The sequence below is a fragment of the Homo sapiens genome, chromosome 3 (genome assembly GCF_000001405.40).
Source record: "Homo sapiens chromosome 3, GRCh38.p14 Primary Assembly".
Taxonomy (NCBI): domain Eukaryota; kingdom Metazoa; phylum Chordata; class Mammalia; order Primates; family Hominidae; genus Homo; species Homo sapiens.
Genome location: NC_000003.12, coordinates 11062198 through 11087731, shown reverse-complemented (window position 1 = coordinate 11087731; position 25534 = coordinate 11062198). Strand labels below are relative to the sequence as shown.

The window sequence follows — 25534 nt, the reverse complement described above, 5'->3', positions numbered from 1 at the left end:
GAACTGAATTTCAGTAATACTCTAGCAGCCTTTTTTTTCTTTTTAAAATTATTCTGTTTCTGGAACATGAAAAAGTGTTTTTTCTTTTTTTTTGGAGACAGAGTCTCGCTCTGTCGCCAGGCTGGAGTGCAGTGGAATGATCTCGGCTCACTGCAGCCTCCTCCTCCCGAGTTCAAGCAATTCTCCTGCCTCAGCCTCCCAAGTAGCTGGGACTACAGGCGTGTGCCACCACAACCGGCTAATTTTTGTATTTTTAGTAGAGACAGGGTTTCACCATGTTGGCCAGGATGGTCTTGATCTCCTGACCTCATGATCCACCCACCTCGGCCTCCCAAAGTGCTGGGATTACAGGCGTGAGCCACTGCGCCCGGCCACTGAAAAGATTTAATCTGTTGCGTCCAATGCAGTCATAGACCGGCCATGTGAACCTGAGCAAGTCACTTCCTCTCTGTGGACCTCACTTTCCTCCTCTGTAAGATGAGGATAATTATGCCAACCTTGCGGGGTTTCTCTGACGGTGATATGGGACCCTGGGGGCCCAATTCCCAGCCCACCCTCTGGCCCAGGATCTGCTTCCCACACCCTATGGTTTCCTGGCTTGCCATTGTGCTCTATAGTTGCCATGGCAGGAAAATTCTGGCTCCAGGGCATTTTGACAACTCACTGCCATTAATGCAAAGTTGGTGTGTGCTTATTCTGCAGGCTGTCTGCACGTGGACCTAAGGATGAGGACTGGGAGCGGGGCTGGGTTTCAGGAAACCATCAGGATTCCTGGCTCCTCCAGCCATCAGGAAACCTGGCAAAGGAGGCCTGCTCCAGGGAAAGGCAAGGCGTCTGGGCTTTGGTGTCAGACAGACCTGGGCTTGATCTCAGTCTTGTTCTTTTAAATATGCGTGCCATTGGGCAATCCCTTTGATCCTCAATAACAAAGTAACAACAGTGTTTACCTCTAAGCATTACTAGGGCACTGTGTTTGTGCCCAGTAAGTGTTGTCTTCTATTATTGCTGTTAGAGATAAAGATGGGCCTGACATGGTTTATTGACCGAATAATGAATGCCCCAGCAGAGTGAGCAGAGCCAAGACTTCCCTCTCATAGTTCTTCACCAGGCTTTAAGGAGTGGAGTAGGACGTGAGTTAACACATTGACATCTCATGATATCAATCAAGTGCTTAGCAAGTAGTAGGTGCTCAATAAATGCTAATTCTTGCTCCCCCAACCTCACACAGGCAGGTCTGAGAAGACCTCAGAACTTCTTTGGGCATGGCAGTCATCATTTTCTTCTGCTCAGTCCTTTAGGAAATTTAAGGGCTCATGGTCTCCTTCAAACTTCATTGTGGCCTGGGACGGAAGGAAACTTACCAGGGAGACTTTCAGCGGCTTCGCCAATGTGGCAGAGGTGGAAAGCGATAACAACTGTGTCCACTCTGTTTCCCATCCATCATTCATTCATCCAAGGAATATTCTTAAGCACTGTCAACTGAAGAATGATGAGGTTCACACATGTGGAAAGGAGATCTTTATTTATCATAAACAGAGGCAGCCTGCAGGCCAGCCATCCCATAGGCTGGGCAGCATGGCCTCTGGCTCTGCAGAGAGCAAGCAGTTTGAGGGAAGGGTAAAGGGAACAGGAACTTATGCTGAGTGAGACGGCTGAATATACACACGTAACCAGCGACCGGAGGAGCCATGAATACTGATGAAAGGAGAAACATGCACATGCGTGGTCCAGCTTCATGCCTCTTCTTGGGTTGCATGTCCAAACAATACCAGGGTTAGTATGATCCTCAAGGGTGGAATTTTTGGTCCTCAGACATCAAAAGGTGAAGCAAAGGACGTGAAAACCCTCACGCACATCCTCCAGAGGGTGGCCAAAACTGGCCCAGAGATGGTCACTGGCCGTTTCTTTTCTTTTTTTTTTTCTTTCTTTTTTTTTTTTTTAAAGCTGGAGGGTGGTCAGTTTTTAGGAAGGGATACCATTATGAAGCTGGTGAGCTTTCATGTCAAAACTGCAAAGGGGAAGAGGGAGTCTGGTCATGGCCTCATTGGCATGGTCACGATTGGCTGAAGGTAATAAAGGAATGAGTCGTCTGTTTCTTGTTTTCCAAATCTGCTTACTCCTTACGAAGGAATTCTGGTTAAAAGTCAGTAAGTAAGGGGCATACTGAGATGTGTTTGGCCTCCTGTCCCATCATGGCCAGGAACTTGGTTTTTAAGGTTTCTCCTGGGTCCCCTTGGCCAAGAGTGGGTCTGTTCAGTCCGTTGTGGGGCTTAGGATTTGATTTTTAGTTCTCAGCACCTACTATGCACTCTGAGCAAAAGTGGTTCAGAGGACAGACTCTTCTCTGCCTGGGGAGTTTATAGCCTAGTCAGGAGTGAGATAGGAATAAATAACTATACCAAAAGTTTCTTAATCACAAGGCCATTAAGTGCTGAGAACGGGAAGTGCAGGGAGTGGCTAGAGTGTCCAACAGGGTGACCCAGCCTCCTCTAAGTGGTCAGGGAAGACCTCCCTGTGGAGGCTCATCTTGAGCTCCCCTGAGAGCAGAGCCTGGAGCAGAGACCTAGGTGCGGGAGTTTATTTGGGAGCGAACGCGGGGAGCAGCAGGGGAGGAGTGGGGAGGTGACACCAGGCATGAGGAAAGCCAGCATAAAGGTTGCAATCACGGTCGTTCCTGTGGGCAGCTGGACTGGCTATGCCTGCGACCACCTGACGAAGGGACAGACGGCCTTCTGGTAGTGTCCATGCAAAGGGACAAGGGACATCACCAAGGGAGGCCCATGCACCTCTCCCAGTGTGCTTCCAGTCAAAGGAACCTAATGGCAGTCGTCCAGCCCATCCAGAGTTCAGGCCCAGATGAGTCAGCTGCATCAAGTGACATTTTCAATGCAACTGTGGAGGGCCTTAGGGGAGTATTCCAGGCAGAGGGACAGCTCCCGATTCACCTGCCTGTAAGAGGGACGGCTCATCTGCCACAGCCTGGCCTGGGCGATTCTGCTGGCCCCCCCATCTTGGAGTAGAATCGTTTCCTGGAATAGTACATCTTCCGGACCCCACCCCACGCTGCACAACTCAGAGTGTCAGCTGGAGCCCTTTCTCCATGGAGTGCCTCCTCCGAAGGTCTGACAAAGGCAGGCAGGGGTGTCAGTGAGGAGGTGTGTAGAAGTGCTCCTTTCTCCTCCGCCGTGGTCTTCCTGCCTCCCAGACAAGCTTCAGAAGGCAGGAAATCTCTAGACCACCTATGGAAGACAGAAGGCTGCCTGGGCCTGGGGTTTGGGTCATGTGAGCCAGCTCTAGAAAGCCTTTTGGTGCCCACAGAAACCCCCAAAAAAGGAATGCATGGCATAACTCTAATGAAATTTAGGAAGCCCGAGGCATTCCCCACCCTTGTCTACTCTCCCTGAACTATCCTGTGCACCAGGCTGACAGCTTCTGGCCAGGGGCCAAGTCCAGGGGCTGGAGGGAAGATGCCTGCAGGGAGGTGGTAAGCTGCATTTTGTTCCCTCCCAAATGACATAGACAGAGCAGTGGCCGGGAGTGAGGAGATCTGGTTAAAGGCCCAGTGACTCCTTGAGCCATTATTGCAAAAAGACCTAAGCCAATCTGAAATGCACAACTCCAGGCTCTCCTTGGTGGCCAGCGGTGTTAGCCAACAATTAGCAGTGAATGAGGACCTGCCGCTTCCCCTAGTCTTGCTACCAGGTTCACATGAAAGCAAGTTGTGGACAGAATTCTGCCCCCACAAAGACATTTAGTAGGCAACTGTTATGAGCAAGCAGGTCCCAGACAGTTCATGCAACATGTATTTATTAAACTCAGCAGATTCAAGGCAGACGTAAGAATATTCCAGAGTCACATTCTGTGACTGTTACAGGCCACATCAGGCAACCAGAATCACTTTTTTGAGATGGAGTCTTGCTCCGTTGCCCAGGCTGGAGTGCAGTGGCATAATCTTGGTTCATTGCAACCTCCACCTCTCGGGTTCAAGAGATTCTCCTGCTTCAGCCTCCTGAGTAGCTGGGATTACAGGTGCATGCTACCATGCCCTGCTAAGTTTTTTTTTTTTTTTCAGACGGAGTCTCGCTCTGTTGCCCAGGCTGGAGTGCAGTGGCACGATCTCGGCTCACTGCAAGCTCCGCCTCCTGGGTTCACGCCATTCTCCTGCCTCAGCCTCCCAAGTAGCTGGGACTACAGGCGGCTGCCACCACGCCCAGCTAATTTTTTGTATTTTTTAGTAGAGATGGAGTTTCACCATGTTGGTTAGGCTGGTCTCAAACTCCTGACCTCAAGTGATTTGACTGCCTCGGCCTTCCAAAGTGTTGGGATTACAGGCGTGAGCCACTGTGCCCGCCAGAATCACCCTTAACCAGTGGCTGGACCCAGGACCTACCAGGGAGCAGCCTGAAGTGCCATCCCTGGGGCTTGCTGGATTCTTACACCTAATTTGTGCCAGGGGAGGAAGTGCCTCTAAAATATTTTAACCGAGCTGTGTATTCTGAATCCCACTAATTTTATCAACAAGTGCCTGTTTCCAGCATCCATTAAGCTGGCTAACAAGCCACTGATTTCACCTCTGAAAACTCATTTATTTTTAACAGTCATTATGCTAATCAACCGAGCCACTGGTGTTGATCAGCACTAAAGACAAATGAAACCCTTGTCCTCGTGGCTTCTGGAGCCAGTGAAGCTGATACTGCAGTGAAAATGGCAGCTGGCCGCACCTGGACTGTGAATTCTAGGAGAGGCAACTGACTACGCTGGAGTCATAGCAAAAAATCAAGAACACATGTCTATATCACATCATCTTCTCTGAAGCATTCTCAGCTTCACTTTGGACATCGTGGTGGTGAGATTCTGACAGTCAACTCTGCCACTGGCCCTCATGTCCCCATCTCTAATGTGCCTACTACCCCATGCCCTTGGAACAGCCTCCTGCTCTGGGGCAGAATCTGGGGTGAGGTTGTTCTGGGCTCCCTATGGATGACACTGGGGATGACTCTGGTCATTTTCTAATGCCTCCCTTTGTTGAGAGATCTCAGGGTGATTATCCTCAGAAAAAATGTGCCTGTTCGGTTGCGGTGGCTCACGCCTATAATCCCAGCACTTTGGGAGCCTGAGGCAGGAGGATCATGAGGTCAGGAGCTTGAGGCCAGCCTGGCCAACATGGGGAAACCCTGTCTCTACTAAAAATACAAAAGTTAGCCGGGCGTGGTGGTGTGTGCCTGTAATCCCAGCTACTCAGGAGGCTGAGGCAGGAGAATTGCTTGAACCCAGGAGGCGGAGGTTGCAGTGAGCCGAGATCGCACCACTGCACTGCAGTCTGGGTGACAGAGCAAGACTCTATCTTGGAAAAAAAAAAAAGAAAGAAAAACATGCCTGTTTGCTGCCAGCAGAACCAGTTCTTACCTCTAAACACTCTTTTGTCCAACTGATCATTAATTTATTTGTTAACAAGTTATTTTGGGGAGGGATTTCCATGTCTGTGCTAGGGCTAATTTTCTAGCACAGTGTTGGAGCTCAGTAAATATTGAATGAGTGCATGAAGGATGACAGGAAGGGAGAAAGGGACTGGGGGCTGTGTGCAAGGGAAGCAGCAGCATGGTGTGCCTGCAAGGCGGCTGTCCATCTTGCAGAGACACCAGCCCTGCCCTCCAAAGGTTCCCTCAGCCTCTCCATCTTCATGCTTCTCCCAGGTTGGTGTTGAGCCCTTTGAGAGAGGCTGAATTAAGTGCTAGGCTCCCTTCACTGCCTAAATGCCCTGTGAGAGCTGCGCCAAGCAGCAGATTGCTAGAGTGTGAGGCTGTTTTCATTGTCTGACTCGCTTGGGAGCAGGTGGTTCATTTCTGAAAAGCTGAGGCTTAGTGAGTTTTCATGGATGGAGGGGACAGAGAAGGAAACAAGACAGACTGACAGACACAGAGAGCCACAGCCAGCTGATATGTGCTGAGCACTCAATCCATGCCAGGCATGCTGTTAGGCCCTAGGAATTCAGTGGTGTAACAGACAGACTCAGGCCCTGCCCTCAGGGAGCTTAAAGTCTAGAACAGGGGTTGGCAAAGTCCAGCCTGTGGGCTGATTCTGGCCTGCTTGGAACACAGCTGTGCTCATTTGTTTGAGTGTTGTCTAGGGTTGATTTCACTCATTTGTCTGAGTGTTGTCTAGGGTTGATTTCACTCATTTGTCTGAATGTTGTCTAGGGTTGATTTCACTCATTTGAGTGTTGTCTAGGGTTGATTTCACTCATTTGAGTGTTGTCTAGCGTTGATTTCACTCATTTGTCTGAGTGTTGTCTAGGGTTGATTTCACTCATTTGTCTGAGTGTTGTCTAGGGTTGATTTCACTCATTTGTCTGAGTGTTGTCTAGGGTTGATTTCACTCATTTGAGTGTTGTCTAGGGTTGATTTCACTCATTTGTCTGAGTGTTGTCTAGGGTTGATTTCACTCATTTGTCTGAGTGTTGTCCAGGGTTGATTTAACTCATTTGTTTGAGTGTTGTCTAGGGTTGATTTCACTCTGTGGCAGAGATGAGTAGTTGCAACAGGGACTGTGTCACCTATAAAACCTAAAATACTTACAGTCTGGCCCTTTCTAGAAAAAGTGTGCTGACCTGTGGTGTAGAGGCCAAGCAGATACAAGCAGCCAGAAGCAGAAAGAAGAGTGAAGTCAAAACGCACACAGAAAATGAGAGAGAGAGAAGGAGCCCCCCAAAATATGTGAGGTGGGAAGGCTGCAGTTCCCACAAATATTTCCATTTGTCATCCTTCACCATGACAAAACTCCACCATCAGTGGCTTATTCCTTAGGGATAAGCATTGCTTTCACAAATATTCCCCTGAAAAGAGTTCTTCTTCCTCGATTTATACCCTGAGTATGGAGTAGCTGAAGAGATCATTCTGGAGGCAGACAGGGCTGCTGAAGATTTCCAAAAGCCAGGACGGAGGGAGAGGGAAGGGCTGGGCCTTATGGATGGGAGGTGTCTGGGTAGGGCAGAGCACCACAGCCTGCAAAAACAATTGTGTTGTTTGTCCAAGATGAGCCAGTGGTAGGGTGTGTCTCTGAGCTGCTCTGCAGTTTCTCAAGGGTGGGATTCTATTTATGACCAAAGAAGTCACTCACCGCCTAAGGGCAGAGTTGTGATTCCTCTTCCATCCCTGACATTGGGCAGCGTCGGCTCTTGGGGGTGCATAGGTATGTGTGTGCATGCACTGGTGTGTGTATCAGGAGGGAGCCACATTTTGCAGTGAAGGGGGTTCAGTTGATATAATTTGGGGGACCCTCTTTAAGGAAAAGATTTCAAAATTATCAATCCTAATTTAGGTATGCATATGCATATTTAGAATTTAAAAAGAAATCATAATGTTACAAAATTTTAAAAAATTGACAAGGGTCAGAAACACTGCAAAATCTAGAAAAATGACATATGTGTTAATTAACTTCCTGATACCCTCTGAAATGCATTTCATGGTAGTTTTGCTATATACTTTTCATATGTTTATGATTTTTAATAATCTTTTCTAATAGAGAAAAGAATGATAAGTCAGCCTTTCCTCTGACACGGTCGACTGAAATTCGTTTTTTCACCACGAGTTAGGATGCACAAGATGTAACTTCATATACATACTTGCTTCTTGCAGCACAGCCTTGGGTTTGGCTCCTACAGACTCAAGAATTCTGATAAATTCAATTTTGTATGTTTTCCATCACAAAAAGAAAAATGTATGGTATATTTATAATGCTATATGTTACCTTATTAGGGATATGCTGCATTATCAAGCATATGCCCAAATGGAAAAAAAAATTTTTTCGATTAGGTGTCAGTGAGAACTGAATCCAGTTATAATACTGTCTGTGATGATCTGAATAATTTTCCATTTCCATTTCTGGCTCTGTCCATTTCCAACACTGTTTCTCTTCTTTGGCCCACACCTTTCTGGTACTGGGCACCAGACCACACACTGAGATATTTTGGTACAGCCATAGGCCTCACTCCTTCATGTCATGATGCAGGGCAAGTTGGCATGGGGGCAATAGGGCTATTCTGGAGGTCATTGCTATGTCAGTGTCTTAGTCTATTTTGTGTTGTTTATCACACAATACCTGAAAGAAAAATCATTTATTTCTTACATTTATGGAGGCTGAGAAGTTCAAGGTTGAGGGCCTGCCTTTGGTGAGGGGCTTCTTGCTGCTGGGGACTCTCTGCAGAGTCCCAAAGTGGCTCAGGGCATTACATGGCAAAAGGGCTGAGTGTGCCAGTTCAAGTTTTTCTTCCTCTTCTTAGAAAACCACCGGCCCCACTCCCAGGATAACCCATTAATCCACTAATCCCTGAATGGATTAATCCATTCATGAGGGCAGAGCCCTCATGACCCAATCACCTCTTACAGGTTCCGCTTTTTAATTACATGACAAAAGGGCTGAGTGTGCCAGTTCAAGTCTTGCTTCCTCTTCTTAGAAAACCACCGGTCCCACCCCCATAATAACCCATCGCAGAGCCCTCATGACCCAATCACCTCTTACAGGTTCTACTTTTTAATATTGCCACATTAGGGATTAAGTTTTACTACAAGTTTTGGAGGGGACAAATATTCAAACCATAGGAGCCAGAATAATAATAACCTATATATGGAAGAGGTGGTGAACCACATCCATATATGCTCTGATCTCAAACTAAATGTATCACCAAGTCAACTCTCCCCAAATGCCACCTGTCATGAGGGGAAGTGTGAGTAGAATGAGCTAGGAGTCTTAACCAGTTGCGGATAGAATGTGTTGCTTGTCCTAAATGTTCATCATTTGATGCATGGACAAACAAAATGTGGCATATCCAAACTATGGATTATTCTTTGGCTACAAAAAAGGAATGAAGCACTGATACCTGCTACTACACATATGAATCTTGAAAACATATGTGAAATGAAAGGAGACAGACACAAAAGGCCACAAACTGTATGATTCCATTCATACGAAATGCCCAGAACCGGCAAATGTATTGAGTCAGAAAGTAAGACTAGTGTTTGCCAGGGAGGAAGGAAATGGGGAGTTACTGCTAATGGTTGATTTTTAGGAATGAATAAAGTGTTCTAGACTTAGATAATGGTGATGGTTGTACAACTTTGTGAATATACTAAAAATCACTGCATTGTACACGTCGAAAGGGTGAATCTTATAGTAAGTGAATTATATTTCAATCAAGCTATTATTTTAAAGATTTTTACTTTTGTGAGTTTTACAAAACCATGTGACCAGGTAAACACATAGCTAGGGCCTTCTCCCATGATAAATTACCCTTTGGGAATGTATCAGTTTGGGGATGTGTATCAGTTATCTATCAGTAGAGCAGATACTGTGTAACAACCAACCACAGAACTTTAGTGGCACAAAACCTCAGTGGCACACTACAATAAATATTTATTTGGCTCACAAATCAGCTAGGCTCTGCTGGGCTGTTCTTCTGGTTTTAGCTAGCTAGTCTCCCGCTTTTTTTTTTTTTTTTTGAGACAGAGTCTCGCTCTGTCACCCAGGCTGGAGTGCAGTGGCACGATCTTGGCTCACTACAACCTCCACTTCCCGGGTTCAAGCGATTCTCCTGCCTCAGCCTCCTGAGTAGCTGGGACTACAGGCACACGCCACCACACCCAGCTAATTTTTGTATTTTTAGTAGAGACGGGGTTTCACCATGTTGGCCAGGATGGTCTTGATCTCTTGACCTTGTGATCCGCCCACCTCGGGCTCCCAAAATGCTGGGATTACAGGCATGAGCCACTGCGCCCAGCCTCATTTCCCACTTCTGGTGGTTGGCCATGGGCTGTCTGATCTAGGATGGCCTCAGCTGGGGCAAATGAGGTGCCTTGCCTCTGCACCAGGTGTCTCCTCCTTTACATCCCAAGTATGTTCTCACAGTGATGGCAAGGACCAAGAGACAGAAGCAGAACCACACAAGCACTTTTTCAAGGTTCTGCTTGCATCATATTTGCTAATACTGCATTGGTTAGAGCAAGTTACACTGCCAAGCCTGGATTCAGTGGATGGGGAAATAGATCTTCCCTCTCAGAAGAGAGGAATTGCAAAGTCATATGTCAAAAGAAGTGGGTATGTGGAGGGGTGATGACTCAGGACCAGGAAGACAATTAATTTTACATCTGCTTCCATGTATATACCAGTGTGTGCCTGCGTATGTGTTTGCAGACATATGTGTCTATATTGGTGAATATGTGTGTTCAGGCATCCGTGTGTGCATGTGAGGCTGTTTGTGTGTACACTTCCTTTGGATGTGTCTACATGTCCAACATGCATGCATGCATGAACAATTTTGGAAGCTTTTCTGCTTGTGTATCTGTGCAGGTGTGAGCCTTGCCAGATAGGTGCCAAGTGTAGTGGGCCATGGATTGTGTCAAGTAGAGTGGGCCAACACATGTGCTCCCAAACCCTCACACCAGCAGGACTCTGGGGTCTCTGGGTCCTTGTCTGTCATTTACCCAAGACAGGCAACTATTAGAGAAGCAAGAGTATCGACTTTGAAATCAGGAAGGCTGGATTCAAACACTAGCTCTGCCACTGACTGGCTTGGCAGGAGATTCCCACCCTAGTTTTCTGATCTGTAAAATGGGGATACCACTTCCTAGTTTTCTTGTGTGAAAGGGCTTTGTAACATGCACTGTGCCATGGCTTTGTTAGCTATGAAGACTCTGGGGGAGTGAATTTCCCTTCCCACTCTATGCCCCAAAGACTTGACCCCTTTCCAGATGCTAAAACTGGAGGTGGCTCCGCATCTCTTAATGCGTTGCCATGGCAATCACTGCCTTCTGCTCTTCTGTCAGCAGTGCTGGACGGGGCTCTGGTGTCCTCTCACTGCTGGGCGCAGGGCGAGGTGGAGGAGGAGCAGGCTCACCCGAAGTCCATTTCCTTCTGAAGCAGATCAGGGAGGAAGGGAGGATGTGGGGGGCTGTTACCTGTCTTTGTTGTTGCTGCTCTGCTCCTCTTACCATTCCCCCACCAACAGCAGCTTAGGGAGGTCCTGGGGCAGCCATTCAGACATTAACACACCCCCAAATCACCTGAGCAGCTTCAAAAAATGAAGACTTCTGTGCCCCACTCAGAAAGTCTGATTCAGTAGGCCTGAGGTGGGTAGCAGGCAACCAGTGTTTTCACTATACTCTCCAGGACATTCTGATGGGGGAAGTCCAGGAACCACACTTGGAGAAACCGTGCACTAGGGGTACAGGGCCTGAGGCAACCCACTGACTTATGCTGCCAGTCCCCACAACATAACCAGTCTCTTCATTTATTCATTCACTCACTCATTCATTCACCTACTCACTTGTCATTGTATTCCCTTACATCAAACCACATTTAAATAATTGTTTAAATAATACATTCACATTTAAATAATCACTCTCTCATTTATTTACTCATTTATTAGAACAAATATTTATTACTGTCCTAAGCTCTGGGAGATGGAGAGATAATTACAGATACAGTCCCTGCCGCCCTACAGGAGGTTCCAGGGCAATGTTTTTCAAACTGTAGCAAAATGAATTTAATGGATGGACTAACATGTTTTTTAAAAAAGAAACAGAATAGACTATAATAGAAGATATTAGTGGTCATAGCAAGCAGCAGGGGAAAATGATGTTTGGGAAACCTTTGTATCCACTGTGCATGTGAGTGTGGGAAAAGGATCTCAACGTGCAATGTATCTCTGGGCAGAGCGCTGGAGGCAGCGGGCACAGAAGCAGATGCTGATACTGCATGCCGGGTGCTACAGTGAAGATGTGCTGGGGGTGTTGGTGGAGCTCAGTCCCTCTGCCAGGCGACACCAATGGGGAGGTTCACAGAGAAAGTGCATTTGAACTGGGGGCTTGAAAATGTGCAGGAATTTTCCCACTAAAGACAGTGGAAAGGGACCACAGGCAGAAGGAAGAGCATGTGCAAAGGCACAGAGGTGGGAAAACAGAGAGGAGCTAGGTGACTGGTGGGTCTGGAGCATGGGCGGGGAGGCTGGAGGGTGAGAGGCTGCATCCTAAAGGGCCTTGGGTGCCAGAGAAAGTAGTGGCATGACATGGCCAGAGTGGCATTTTAAAAGGACTGAGAGGTGAAGCTGACTGCGCTTCCGGGTCGGGTGGGAACCTGGAGAACTTTTCTGTCTAGCTAAAGGATTGTAAACACACCAATCAGCGCTCTGTGTCTAGCTAAACGTTTGTAAATGCACCAATCAGCACTCTGTAAAAACACACCAATTAGTGCTCTGTGCTTAGCTAAAGGTTTGTAAATGCACCAATCAGCACTCTGTAAAAATGCTCCAATAAGTGCTCTGTGTCTAGCTAAAGGTTTGTAAATGCACCAATCAGCACTCTGTAAAAATGCACCAATCAGCACTGTGTCTAGCTAAAGATTTGTAAACGCACCAGTCAGCACTCTGTAAAAATGCACGAATCAGCACTCTGTGTCTAGCTAAAGGTTTGTAAATGCACCAATCAGTACTCTGTAAAAACAGACCAATCAGCACTAGGTAAAATGGACCAATCAGTGCTCTGTAAAATGGACCAATCAGCAGGATGTGGGCAGGGCCAAATAAGGGAATAAAAGCTGACCATCCAAGCCAGCAGTGACAACCCGTTGGGATCCCCTTCCGCTCTGCGGAAGCTTTGTTCTTTTGCTCTTCACAATAAATCTTGCTGCTGCTCACTCTTTGGGTCTGCACTACCTTTATGAGCTGTAACACTCACTGTGAAGGTCTGCAGCTTCACTCTTGAAGTCAGCGAGACCATGAACCCACCGGGAGGAACAAACAACTCCCAATGCGCCAGCTTTAAGAGCTGTAACACTCACTGCGAAGGTCTGTGTCTTGACTCCTAAAGTCAAGCGAGACCAAGAACCCACTGCAAGGAAGAAACTCCGGACACATCTGAACACCTGAAGGAACAAACTCTGGACACACCGTCTTTAAGAACTGTAACACTCACTGCAAGTGTCTGTGGCTTCATTCTTGAAGTCAGTGAGACCAAGAACCCACTGAAAGGAACCAATTCCAGATACAAGACCACAGCAGCAATGTGGGTGGAGAGGCCAGTGGAAGGCTCAGCTGCTTTACAGCAAGGGATGGCAGTCATGGGAGTTGGGTAGTGGTTTGTGGTTGGGGTTATGAGATACGGATACACTTGGGAAGTACTTTAAGAGGTAAAATAAACAGGAGCCAATGACTGGATATAGGGTGGGAGGATGTGGAAGCATCCAACCTGGTGCCTGGGTCCCTAAGGTGGGAAGCTGAGTTGGAGGGGAAGCTGCTCACTGATATCAGGTCCCTCAATTGGTTACCAAAACACCAAGGGTTTGGTGTAGGTCCTGTTGTTTGCCACACAGAAAGCCAATGACTGAGATGAGTACTGCCAAGGAAGAAGTCTTTAACTGGGTGCTGCAGTCCAGGAGATGGGAGCTCAGCCTCAAATCCATCTCCCTGACCTACTAAAACTGGGGCTTTATATAGCGGGGAAGAAATGTAACTATGTGTAAGAAAACAGGAACTCGGGGTGGGGGGGGCAAGGAAGCAATCATGAGAATGAGGGGTACTATCTGGTGTAGTGATCTGGTGAGTTTTAGTTCTTTGATACTTTTTTGAGAGGCCTGAAGTTCCTTTCCTGAGGAAGGAACTCACATAAAACAGATGTAAATTTCAAGCTTTAAGCCCAGAAGGATCAATTTCTATAGTTATCAAAAATAATGGTCTGTGGGGCAATTGGGCTGGTTTCAGTCTCCCCTTTCTACTTATCAATCCCTCAATCATGAGGAATCTGGTCTGAGTATTTCTGGCTGTTTCATTCTGAGGATGGGTGTCCTAGGCAGTGGCCACCCAGGAATCAAAGGTTAATCTAATATAGAGTTTTCTTCTGACACTCAATCTTTCTCTCTCCAGTTCCCCACTTCCACCAAAGACAATCACAGCAGGACCACTCTACCTGCAAAATAAGCTTCAGTTCCATATACTTGGCCTGATAACCCACAAAGTGCAACAAGAATCATTGTCCATATAGACTCCCAAATTGGCTTTGCTGGAATCTCACAAGGCCATTTCAGTCAAAGCCTTGAGAAGATAACCAGTTACTCCAACTGTGTCCCATTACAAAAGAAAACATGTTATTAATTGTGTGCAAACAAACACCATGAATTAAGAATATTCACAAAGAGTTTCCATATTCTGGATAAATTAAGCAGAGAAATATCTCTCAAATTCTGTTTATAAAAGCATACTCCATTCAATACCCTTGAAGTATATATACTTTAAGACTATAAATACACTTAAAGGCTATAAATAAATAGCTCAAAAGAAAAAGATTCTCCAGACTCTGAAAAACAAAACCAAAAGAATCAGCAATATTTCAAACAACAAAAGCCATAAAAAGTTCTTTCTGTCCTGCATTAGTTCAGTCCATGCAATCACCTCCTGCTCTGCTTCGTATTGGGTTGGGAATCTTTATGAGCACATCAGCCTTTCAATTAGTGCCCTGGAAATTTTCTCTCTAATCTAGTGGCACAATCTCCAAAGTTATCAGAAACCTGCATTCAAGAGTCTTTTTCATGAACTCCTCCAAAGAAGGAAGCTTTGGACTATAGCTGATTGTAAGTCACTTTTTTTCTTTTGAGAAGGATCACAGCAAAACATCAATTGTGGATGACAAAAGTCTTCAGACAGCCATAGTTAAAGACACAGTTGACAAGGAAACTTAATCATTTCTGTGGCATAAAACAACTTAATATAATAATAATTACTACTGACAACATATATTAAGACGTATCAGAATTTTAGGACTCTCATACAATCCTGGAACACATACTAACAATACATCTATATAAATATAACCCAAGGGAAGTTAAACATCATCTCAGATTTGGCAATGCTTCTTGCATAATCCTAACGTAACAAATCAGCCTAATATGTCTCTCTCAGACTTCAGGGAACCTAATATCCAAGAAAGTTAGTTTAAGGTCAAGAGACTGAATTTAGAACTTGAAAGTTTGCTCTTAGAAGTCTGCCGAATATCCAGAAGAATGGTGTGAACCCGGGAGGTGGAGCTTGCAGTGAGCTGAGATGGCGCCACTGCACTTCAGCCTGGGTGAAAGAGCAAGACTCCGTCTCAAAAGAAAAAAAAAAGTTTGCCAAATAGCGAAGTTTTAGGCACAAAATAATATCACAAGTCACTGTAAAAATAGTCATTCATTTAGCGGAGGTGATAAAATAAAGACGTTTACTTTTTGATAGATTTAGTTTCCCAAACAGTAAGACCTAATAAAGACAGCATGAGGCTAACTAAATCTCTCTCTCCACTCCATTATCTCCCTGCAGTGTACTCAGAAGGTCAACATCATCTTTTATCTCTCAGTATTACACAAACATTTTATTCAAAAGAAAACGATATTTTACCTTTGTATGGTATATTACTAATGTCAAAGCTAATTTTAATAAAACCTTATAAAAATCTAATTGCAATCAGTTTGACCATAAGGTAAGGTTTCCATAAACTTTTAATAATTGTTTCCAATTTTCTATTAAAGAACAGATAAATGTTCCAAGAAAACCCTGTTATTCCAACACATGGGCCCAGATGCTGGCCTTGCATCAGGGAGCTTTTGATATTAATGTTTAATTTATAGAAAAACTCTGAATTAATCTTATGCCTCAAAATCAGCCCTTATAACTTCACACACCTACCACTTCTGCAATAGTCTCTGGGCCTAGAGGGATTGAATAGTTTTAATTTCTGGCCTGTGTCTCACAAAAACAGTTCATTTGTATTGTTACCTTCTTCCAAGTCTGAGGATGAGGCTTCCACTGGTGTCAATGCTCAGAATTTAGCAGGGGCTGGTGCCTTCTTCAGACCCAAGAGTCAAAGCCCTGTAACTTAACAGCACAAGCATTCATTAATACAATGTTTATATTACAGAAAGTTCTATCATTCTAATGAGAGGTGACAGCATGCTGGCAGCCCTTGCTTGCTCTCAGCGCCTCCTCAGCCTCAGCACCCACTCTGGCCGTGCTTGAGGAGCCCTTCAGCCCACTGCTGCACTGTGGGAGCCCCTCTCTGGGCTGGCTGAGGCTGGAGCCGGCTCCTTCTCCTTGCGGGGAGGTGTGGAGGGAGAGGCGTGGGCAGGAACTGGGGCTGCGCATGGCGCTTGCAGGCCAGCACTAGTTCCGGGTGGGCATGAGCTTGGCAGGCCCCGCACTCGGAGCAGGCAGCCGGCACCACCGGCCCTAGGCAGTGAAGGGATTAGCACCCAGGCCAGCAGCCATGGAGGGTGCACTAGGTCCCCCAGCACTGCCGGCCTGCCTGCACCACGCTCAAATTCTTGCCAGACCTCAGCCGCCTCCTGGTGGGGCAGGGCTCAGGACCTGCAGCCTGCCATGCCCGAGCCTGCCCCCCTCCCCACTGTGGGCTCCTGTGCAGCCCGAGCCTCCCTGACAGGTGCTGCCCCCTGCTCTGTGGCACCCGGTCCCATCGACCGCCCAAGGGCTAAGGAGTGTGGGCGCGTGGTGCGGGACTGGTGGGCAGCTCCGCCCACGGCCCTTACGTGGGATCCACTAGGCAAAGCCAGCTGGGCTCCTTAAGTCAGGTGGGGACTTGGAGAACTTTTATGTCTAGCTAGAGGATTGTAAATGCACCAATCAGCACTCTGTGTCTAGCTTGGGGTTTGTGGATGCACCAATCAACACTCTGTATCTAGGTAATCTGGTGGGGACTTGGAGAACTTTTATGTCTAGCTAGATGATTGTAAATGCACCAATCAGCACTCTGTGTCTAGCTAAAGGTTTGTAAATGCACCAGTCAGTGCTCTGTGTCTAGCTAATCTGGTGGGGACTTGGAGAATTTTTATGTCTAGCTGGAGGATTGTAAATGCACCAATCAGCACTCTGTGTCTAGCTCCAAGTTTGTAAACGCACCAATCAGCACTCTGTGTCTAGCTAAAGGTTTGTAAATGCACTAATCAGTGCTCTGTGTCTAGCTAATCTGGTGGAGAACTTTTATGTCTAGCTGGAGGATTGTAAATGCACCAATCAGCACTCTGTATCTAGCTCAAGATTTGTAAATGCACCAATCAGCACCCTGTCAAAATGGACCAATCAGCTCTCTGTAAAATGGACCAATCAGCAGGATGTGGGTGGGGTCAGATAAGGGAATAAAAGCAGTCTGCCTGAGCCAGCAGTGGCAACCTGCTCGGGTCCCCTTCCACACTGTGGAAGCTTTGCTCTTTTGCTCTTTGCAATAAATCTTGTTGCTGCTCACTCTTTGGGTCCACACTGCCTTAATGAGCTGTAACACTCACCGCAAAGGTCTGCAGCTTCACTTCTGAGGCCAGCGAGACCACAAACCCACCGGGAGGAATGAACAACTCCAGACGCGCTGGCTTAAGAACTGTAACACTCACTGCAAAGGTCTGCAGCTTCACTCCTGAAGCCAGCGAGACCACAAACCCACCAGAAGGAAGAAACTCCGAACACGTCCAAACATCAGAAGGAACAAACTCCGGACACACCATCTTTAAGAATTATAACACTCACCGCGAGGGTCCGCGGCTTCATTCTTGAAGTGAGACCAAGAACCCACCAGTTCCAGACACACTAACATGTTACAAATTAAAACACTGAAATTTGGCCTTTAGGAGTTACTGCCTGCAGCACTTCAAACCACTGTATTAAGTAGTTAGGTTACTCACTGCATATATCTAATTGCTAGTATTCTAGTGACAAAACTGTGACCAAAAGCATCAAAAAGTGATAGGTCCTATGGCAAAATAAGACAGCCAGCTTTTCTCTCCATCATTAAAAAAATGATAAATGCAAATGTCAGTTTTGTCAATTCCGTAAGAGGATAAATAATCTCCTTTCACTTAAATATCACACAACAACACAAGGACAAAGTAAGGACAAGTACACAATAATTTCTTTTCAGTTATTTAAAAGAGCATCATCCCACATTTCCAAGACTGGTTTCTAGAGACAGTAGTGACAGCTGATTAGGTAACTTTCACCACCAAAATCTTCAAACCAGTGCAACGCCTGCACATATTTTGTTTTCAAGTATACACATGAAGGTCCATCAGTGATAAATGGCCTGGGATCAGAGATCACTAGAAAGTCTCAGAATTTTTTATTAGTACTTAATCCAAATGAATATTCCTTAATTTTAATAATGATCAACACAACTCAATTAGTTTGAGAGAAATCCTAACCAATATAATTTCCCTAAGGACAAAGCCAGTCTTTCTCGAACATTAAAATTGTACCCATATCACAGTTTTTCCTCATTAAAGGAAAAGATCTGAAACCAACTCAAATCATTGATTTAATTGAATTACCTTGGAAAAAACATCACTTAAACATTTCTACTACTTTAAAACATGCCTACTTTATTACATTTAAACATACCTACTTTTCCAAATAACGAAATATGTAATGTACTATTTCTGCTCAGAACTTGTAAAAACAAGTCTTTTATTTTTGCCAGGATCCTTAAAGGGCTCATAGATTTCAACATCATCAGAGGTAAGCAAAACAAACCAAATTCCAAATGGCTGGTGTGCTCCATCAATTCCTGCGGGCCCAACAAAGGCAGCCTAGGCATTCCAGATAAATAGAATAAGTGATAACTTGTTAGAAATTCATATGAAACAAAATAACTATTCACAGAACCAAATAAAAGCCTTCCACTAGATGCTAAAAAAAATCTATAGTATATATGCATGCACAAACAAAATCCAAAGAAGAATGAACAACAAATAAAAAGAGGCAAAAACAGCCCAGGTGCCATGACTCATGCCTGTAATCCCAGCACTTTGGGAGGCGGAGGTGGATGGATCACTTGAGGTCAGGAATTCAAGACCAGCCTGGCCAACATAGTGAAACCCCATCTCTACTAAAAACACAAAAATTAGCCGGGTGTGGTGGCACGTGCCTGTAATCTCAGCTCGGGAGGCTGAGGCAGGAGAATCGCTTGAACCTGGGAGGCGGAGGTTACAGTGAGCTGAGATTGCACCACTGCACTTCCAACCTGGGGGACAGAGTAAGACTCCTAAAAAAAAAAAAAAAAAAAAAAAAAAAGCAAAAACAAATAAACAAGAAACCTACCTCCAAACCTCCAACCTTTCCCCCACTCGGTCTACCCCAGAGGCTACAGTGTTACCTAGAGCCCCAAAACCCCACGTAATGAATATTTTATTCCTGATACACAATTCAGTATCCTTAAGTCCACCAACATTACTATACATCCTGTGCAATCCAGAAATTCACTCTAGACACACGACTAGTAATTATTAAATATTCTAATGCAAAAGAATTGTCATATTGCCTATGCATTTCTTTACAATATTTCTTATTTTACCTTCATCAATGAAATGAGATAGTTCCCTTGACCCCTTTGTGGGATTCATGAAGGGGTGGCTTGCTTACTCAGCCTATAGCTCTCAACCCCTCATGGGAGGGGGAGCACACAGGTGAGTGGGTGCAGAGGTAAGGAGGAGTGCTTCTGGGCAACTGGCAGGAGCAGAACTCTGTGCAGGCCTGCAGCAGCATCTAGGGGTTGCCCATGACCCCCAGAGCCCCATGTGTTACAGTGCACTCTTTTAGTTTTGCCATTCATGGACAGCTTAAGTGTTAGACAGCTCAGTGGAGGGTCAGTTTGACAACGTCTTGCACACGCACCAGGGTCCTTGTCCAGCGTCCAGGAGGAATCAGGTTGCACGAATGAATTGAAAATGGTAAATGCTGAGGATTTTATTGCTGATGAAAGTGGCTCTCAGTGGGATGGGAAGCTGGAAAGGGGATGGAATGGGAAGGTGGTCTTCCCCTGGAGTTTGGCCAGGGACTCTGAGGCACCACTGTCAAGCCATCCCTCTGAAGTCAAGCTGCTTCTCATTGATGTCACGCTGCTTCTTCTCTTCTCTCCTCTGCTGCACCACTCTGCCAGTGGAGACTGGGGTTTTTATGGGTATAGGATGTGGGGAGAAGTGGGCCACAGTGGTTTTGGAAAAGGCAACATTTGGGTGGGAAAACAAGAATGGATGTTCTCACTTTGTGCCTGGGTCCAGGCTTGAGGGTGAAGCCCTTGCCAGGGACCCTGCCCTTTTTTACCTAATATTTCCCTGCCTTCTGCCCCTATCATCAAGACTAAGAGCTTTAACTATGAAAATGTTAATTAGCCGAATTTCTCCAATTTTCTATCAGGTTTTAAAGAATATTTTATTATCTAAACTTTTTCAACTTTCTATTTTCTCTGTATGTGCATGAAGATAAACACACAGAGAAACAGGAAAAACTACGTCTGACTTATACAGACCATCCATGACATGACTGGGCTTTCTGTTCAGTCCTAGACTTTCTTTTTCTTCTTTCTTAAAAAAGAGTCATTTTACTCCAGGAGGAAAATTAACTATATAAGATCCTCTGTCATACAAAATTATTATCTTTTCTTTATAATCATTTTTACCAAAAGTACATCTTCATATTCAACTTTCTTCACATCTCTCTCTCTTACTTACTGGTTTCTTACTACCTTGTTTCATAAATAACCATTTTCAAGTCCATAATTTGAAGTAATTTTAGATAACTTCTGAATTGGACAAAATTATGCTTTTTCTCACTAATATCTTTTTGGGCACATTTTATATAGAATTATATGTCAACTAGAATTCTTACACTAAAATTGTAGTGAAACCCTAGGAAGGAAGAAATCCTGAACAATCAGATATTAACATTTTATAGATAAAAATTACATAATCTTTGGAAACATATTTCCCCATATCATAACCCTTTCTTAATTGAAGATGACCCAGGTATCCAATGAGCATCAAAAATAATTTTAAGATTTTTAATTACACAAAAAATTTATCTAAAACCTTTATTCCATTTACATATACTCAATTCTTTCGTTTTTAACAGTTTATTTAGATTACTTCTGAAAACTGAGATATTAGGCACCATCATTTAAGGTTAGTTATTTCCTTGTTAACCATTTTATAATCTGTGAATATCAGGTGTTCATCAAAATAAGAATCTTAAAGTTAACTACATGGGCATTTTCACCAGTAATTCAGAAGATTCAGCTGTTTTCATTAAACCAATAACATAATTAGTTTTAATTATCAAAAATTTGCACAAAGATCATTTTGTTTTGGCTGGGTTTACAGTTTTATAAGCTTCTATGCCAAACCCTGACACCTCAAAATATCTATCAGAGACAAACATAAAATCCAGACAAAAATGTATGCTAACAATTCAACTTTACCAATAACTTTTTTTGGACAGAGTCTCGCTCTGTTGCCCAGGCTGGAGTGCAGTGGCACCATCTTGGCTCACTGCAACCTCCGCCTCCCAGGTTCAAGCAATTCTCCTGCCTCAACCTCCCAAGTAGATGGGACTACAGGCATGCGCCACCACTCCCGCCTAATTTTTGTATTTTTAGTAGAGACAGGTTTTCACCATGTTGGCCAGGCTGGTCTGGAACTCCTGACCTCAGGTGATCCGCCCACCTTGGCCTCACAAAGTGCTAGGATTACAGGCATGGGCCATCACGCCAGGCCTCATTTTAACAATAATTTTAAAGCCAGCTTGTTTAGCAAACATTTACTTAAGTCATGTGAACTTGAGTGGATTTATTTTCTTAATTTTTTAGTGCTGTTTTATTTATAAGCCAATTTGGTAGATACAACATGTGACTTAAATACACATAAACACATCTAGACATGAATACACACACACAATGATTCAACAGCTTTTATAATACCTTGGAACTCTAGCCATGAGATAGCAATACAAACTCACCGGTTTTACATGGTTATACTTTTTTTCGCCCCAGTAGGTAATCCAGTGAAGGCTGTGAACCAAGTTTTGGGTAAAGCAGTTTCCATGGCAGTTTGCTTTTCAAAGGCCAAACCTCCCCAGACTCCAAAGAACACTCGGGTCAAACAGCACCAAGGGAGAGCATCACATACTAACCAAGACCAACCCTACTTAGAACAGCAGCACAAAAGCCTGGATACATGGACTCCATCTCACTCTCCCATTCAACAGCAAACTCCACATTTCAAACAATATTGGGGCCGAAAGTATTTCAAAAGAATATCAAGTTTACTGAAGTCTAATTTCCCATGACACACACACACACACACACACACACACACAATCACCAGAACACAATCCAACTACTACAGCAACAAACAAGCCCCCAAAGTGTCCACACCAAAACAGTCAGGGTGTTTCCCTTTCCCAGTTGGGCTCCTTCAAACTGCAAATGGAAATTCTTTAAAAAATTTCCCGGCCAGGCACAGTGGATCATGCTTGTAATCCCAGCACTTTGGGAGGCCAAAGGGGGCAGATCATGAGGTTAGGAGTTCTAGACCAGCCTGGCCAATATGGTAAAACCCCGTCTCTACTAAAAATACAAAAATTAGCCAGGCATGGTGGCACACGCCCGTATTCCCAGCTACTCAGGAGACTGAGGCAGGAAAATCGCTTGAACCAGGGAGGCGGAGGTTGCAGTGAGCCGAGATCATGCCACTGCATTCTAGGGTGACAGAGTGAGATGCTGTCTCAAAAAAAATTAAAAAAAAAATTTCCAAACTGAGAGGAGCAGATCCTGCTCTCTGGGCCCACAAATGACACTCACCTACGTAGATGCAGATGTCAAATTAGAAAAACAGTTCTTCCAAGGCAATCAGGAACATGATTGGGACTGGCTGTGGCAAAGCTGGAGAGAGACTGAAACTCACCTCCAGCCAAAATTGGTGTGGGCAGCTGCTTAGGAGGGGTTGTGAGACTCCCAGCCCGCTGCAGCCAAGCCATGAGCTCACCACACAGAAAGCCAATCACTGAGATGGTGAATACTGCCAAGGAAGAAGGCTTTAGTTGGGTGCTGCAGCCCAGGAGATGGGAGCTCAGCCTCAAATCCATCCGCCTGACTAAAACTGGGGCTTTACATAGCAGGGAGGAAATGTAACAATGTGTAAGAAAATAGAACTAGGGAAGGCCAAATAAGCCATCATGACAAATGAGGGGTCTGCTATCTGGTGCAGTGATCTGGTGAGTTTCAGTTCTTGGATGCTTTTTGAGAGGCCTGAAGGTCCTTTCCTGAAGAAGGATTTCAGATAAAACAAATACAAGTTTCAAGCTTTAAGCCCAGAAGGGTCAATTTCTAAGTTTACCAAAAAGAACAGTCTATGGGACTATTGGGCCAGTTTCAGATTCAGTTCTTCCTCAGGGTCCTCACCTGATTTCAGCTCAGCCTCTCTCCTTGGGAAGCAGAGGTAGTTCCCCAGCTCTCCATATAAGGAGGAGAAGGTTTTATGACTATATATATATATATATATATATATATATATATTTTTTTTTTAAACTAGCTGGGCATGATGGCACACATCTGTAGTCCCAGCCACTGGGGAGGCTGAGGTGGGAGGATCCCCTGAGCCCAGGAATCTGAGGCAGATATTGAGAGCTGAAGCCAGCTGGACTTGCTGGGTCCAGTGGGGACTTGGAGAACTTTTTTGTCTTACAAGAGGGATTGTAAAATGCACCAATCAGCGCTCTGTAAAAACGCGCCAATCAGCACTCTGTAGCTAGCAAGAGGATTGTAAAATGCACCAATGAGCACTCTGTAAAACACACCAATCAGCAGGATCCTAAAAGTAGCCAATCGCAGGGAGGATTGAAAAAAGGGCACTCTGATAGGACAAAAATGGAACATGGGAGGGGACAAATGAGGGAGTAAAAGCTGGCCACCCAGCCAGCAGTGGCAACCTGCTGGGGTCCTTTTCCACACTGTGGAAGCTTTGTTCTTTTGCTCTTCATAATAAACCTTGCTACTGCTCACTCTTTGGGTCTCTGCCATCTTTAAGGGCTGTAACACTCACTGTGAAGGTCTGCAGCTTCAACCAACTCCCGACACAATATGAGCTATGATTACACCACTGCACTCCAGCCTGGGTGATAAAGTGAGACCTCCTCTCTAAGAAAAAAATAAATTAGCCGGGTGTGGTGGCTCATGCCTGTAATCCCAGCACTTTGGGAGGCCGAGACGGGTGGATCACCAGGTTAGGAGATCGAGACCATCCTGGCTAACACAGTGAAATGCTGTCTCTACTACAAAAATACAAAAAATTAGCCAGGTGTGGTGGCAGCCGCCTGTAGTCCCAGCAACTCAGGAGGCTGAGGCAGGAGAATGGTGTGAAGAGGTGGAGTTTGCAGTGAGCAGAGGTCACGCCACTGCACTCTAGCCTGGGTGACAGACCGAGACTCTAGCTAAAAAAAATAAAAAAATAAAAAAGTAAAATTGATCCGGGAATGGAGGCTTATCGTGGAAATCATAGCACTAGCAGGGTGCTGTCCGTCACTAATCTGATGTCCCCTCTCCCTTGACATGGGGCATGGCCTGCCTCAAACTCTGGCCCATGAAAAATGAGAGGCAGTGACGAATGTCACTTTCATTCAGAAGCATTTACTTGCTGCTGCTCCACTTTTCACCACTCTCATTCCCTAGCTGGGACGCTGATGCCTTCTAAGAAAACAGCCTAATAAAATCATTTGGGTCTCTAAGTGAAGGGCCCCGCCCACCCAGGCCAATCCCTCTTGATAGATAATGTGAGCACGAAATCAACTTGTGTTGCTTAAACCACTGAGATGTGGGGTTATTATGCCACTGGCTTCCCATCCCCTTCAGAGTCCAAGTCCAATTCCTCCCACCATGACCTCCACAGCCCTGCACCACCCACCCCTGCTGTGACCTCCCTCCCTCCACACTCATCTGGCTCAGGGCGCTCCAGGCCCACTGACCCCCTTGGCTCCCTTCTGCCTGGGTGCCTTTCCCTGTGCATCCGTGCATCCCTTCACCTCCCTTGCTCCAGGGTCGCTCTTCAGCAGGTCTTCCTTGGCGCCTGACCGTCTACACGTCTAACCTGTGACCACACACTTCCCCTCTGCCTTCTCCATCTCATTATTTGCTCCACATCCCATTCCCTAGCATAACGCACACTTGGTTCCTCTAGGTTATTGTTTGTCTCCCCTCCCCAAGAACGGAGCCTCCCTGAGGGGAGGGCAGCGGGGTTTGTAGGCTTTATTTCCTGCTGAGTCCCCCGGCCTGGCACCCAGGAAGTTCTCAAGGAAGCACTGCTGAAGGTGCATCCGGAATTGGTGGGTTCTTGCTCTCACTTACTTCAAGAATGAAGTCTGGGACTCTCTCAGTCAGTGTTACAGTTCCTAAAGGCGGTGTGTCCAGAGTTTGTTCTTTCTGATGTTCGGATGTGTTCAGAGTTTCTTCCTTCTGGTGGGTTCGTGGTCTCAGTGGCTTCAGGAGCTAAGCTGCAGACCTTCACAGTGAATGTTACAGCTCATAAAGGCAGTGTGGACCCAAACAATGAACAGCAGCAAGATTTACTGCAAACAGCAAAAGAGGAAATACCCCACAGACTGGAAGGGGACCCGAGCAGGTTACCACTGGTGGCTTGGGCAGCCTGCTTTTATTCTCTTATCTGGCCCCACCCACATCCTGCTGATTGGTCC

The 25534-nt window shown here is 45.5% G+C and overlaps 1 long non-coding RNA gene across 1 annotated transcript; it reads right to left on the bottom strand.

The window, feature by feature from the left end:
- Positions 1-1504: 1504 nt before the first annotated feature.
- Positions 1505-25467, bottom strand: LOC101927467 (uncharacterized). The gene is made up of 3 exons (NR_188517.1): positions 25188-25467; positions 15794-15892; positions 1505-3239 (listed from the first exon to the last, which is right to left on the bottom strand). It is a non-coding gene; the product is annotated as an uncharacterized LOC101927467 (long non-coding RNA).
- Between the last annotated feature and the right edge of the window lie 67 nt (positions 25468-25534).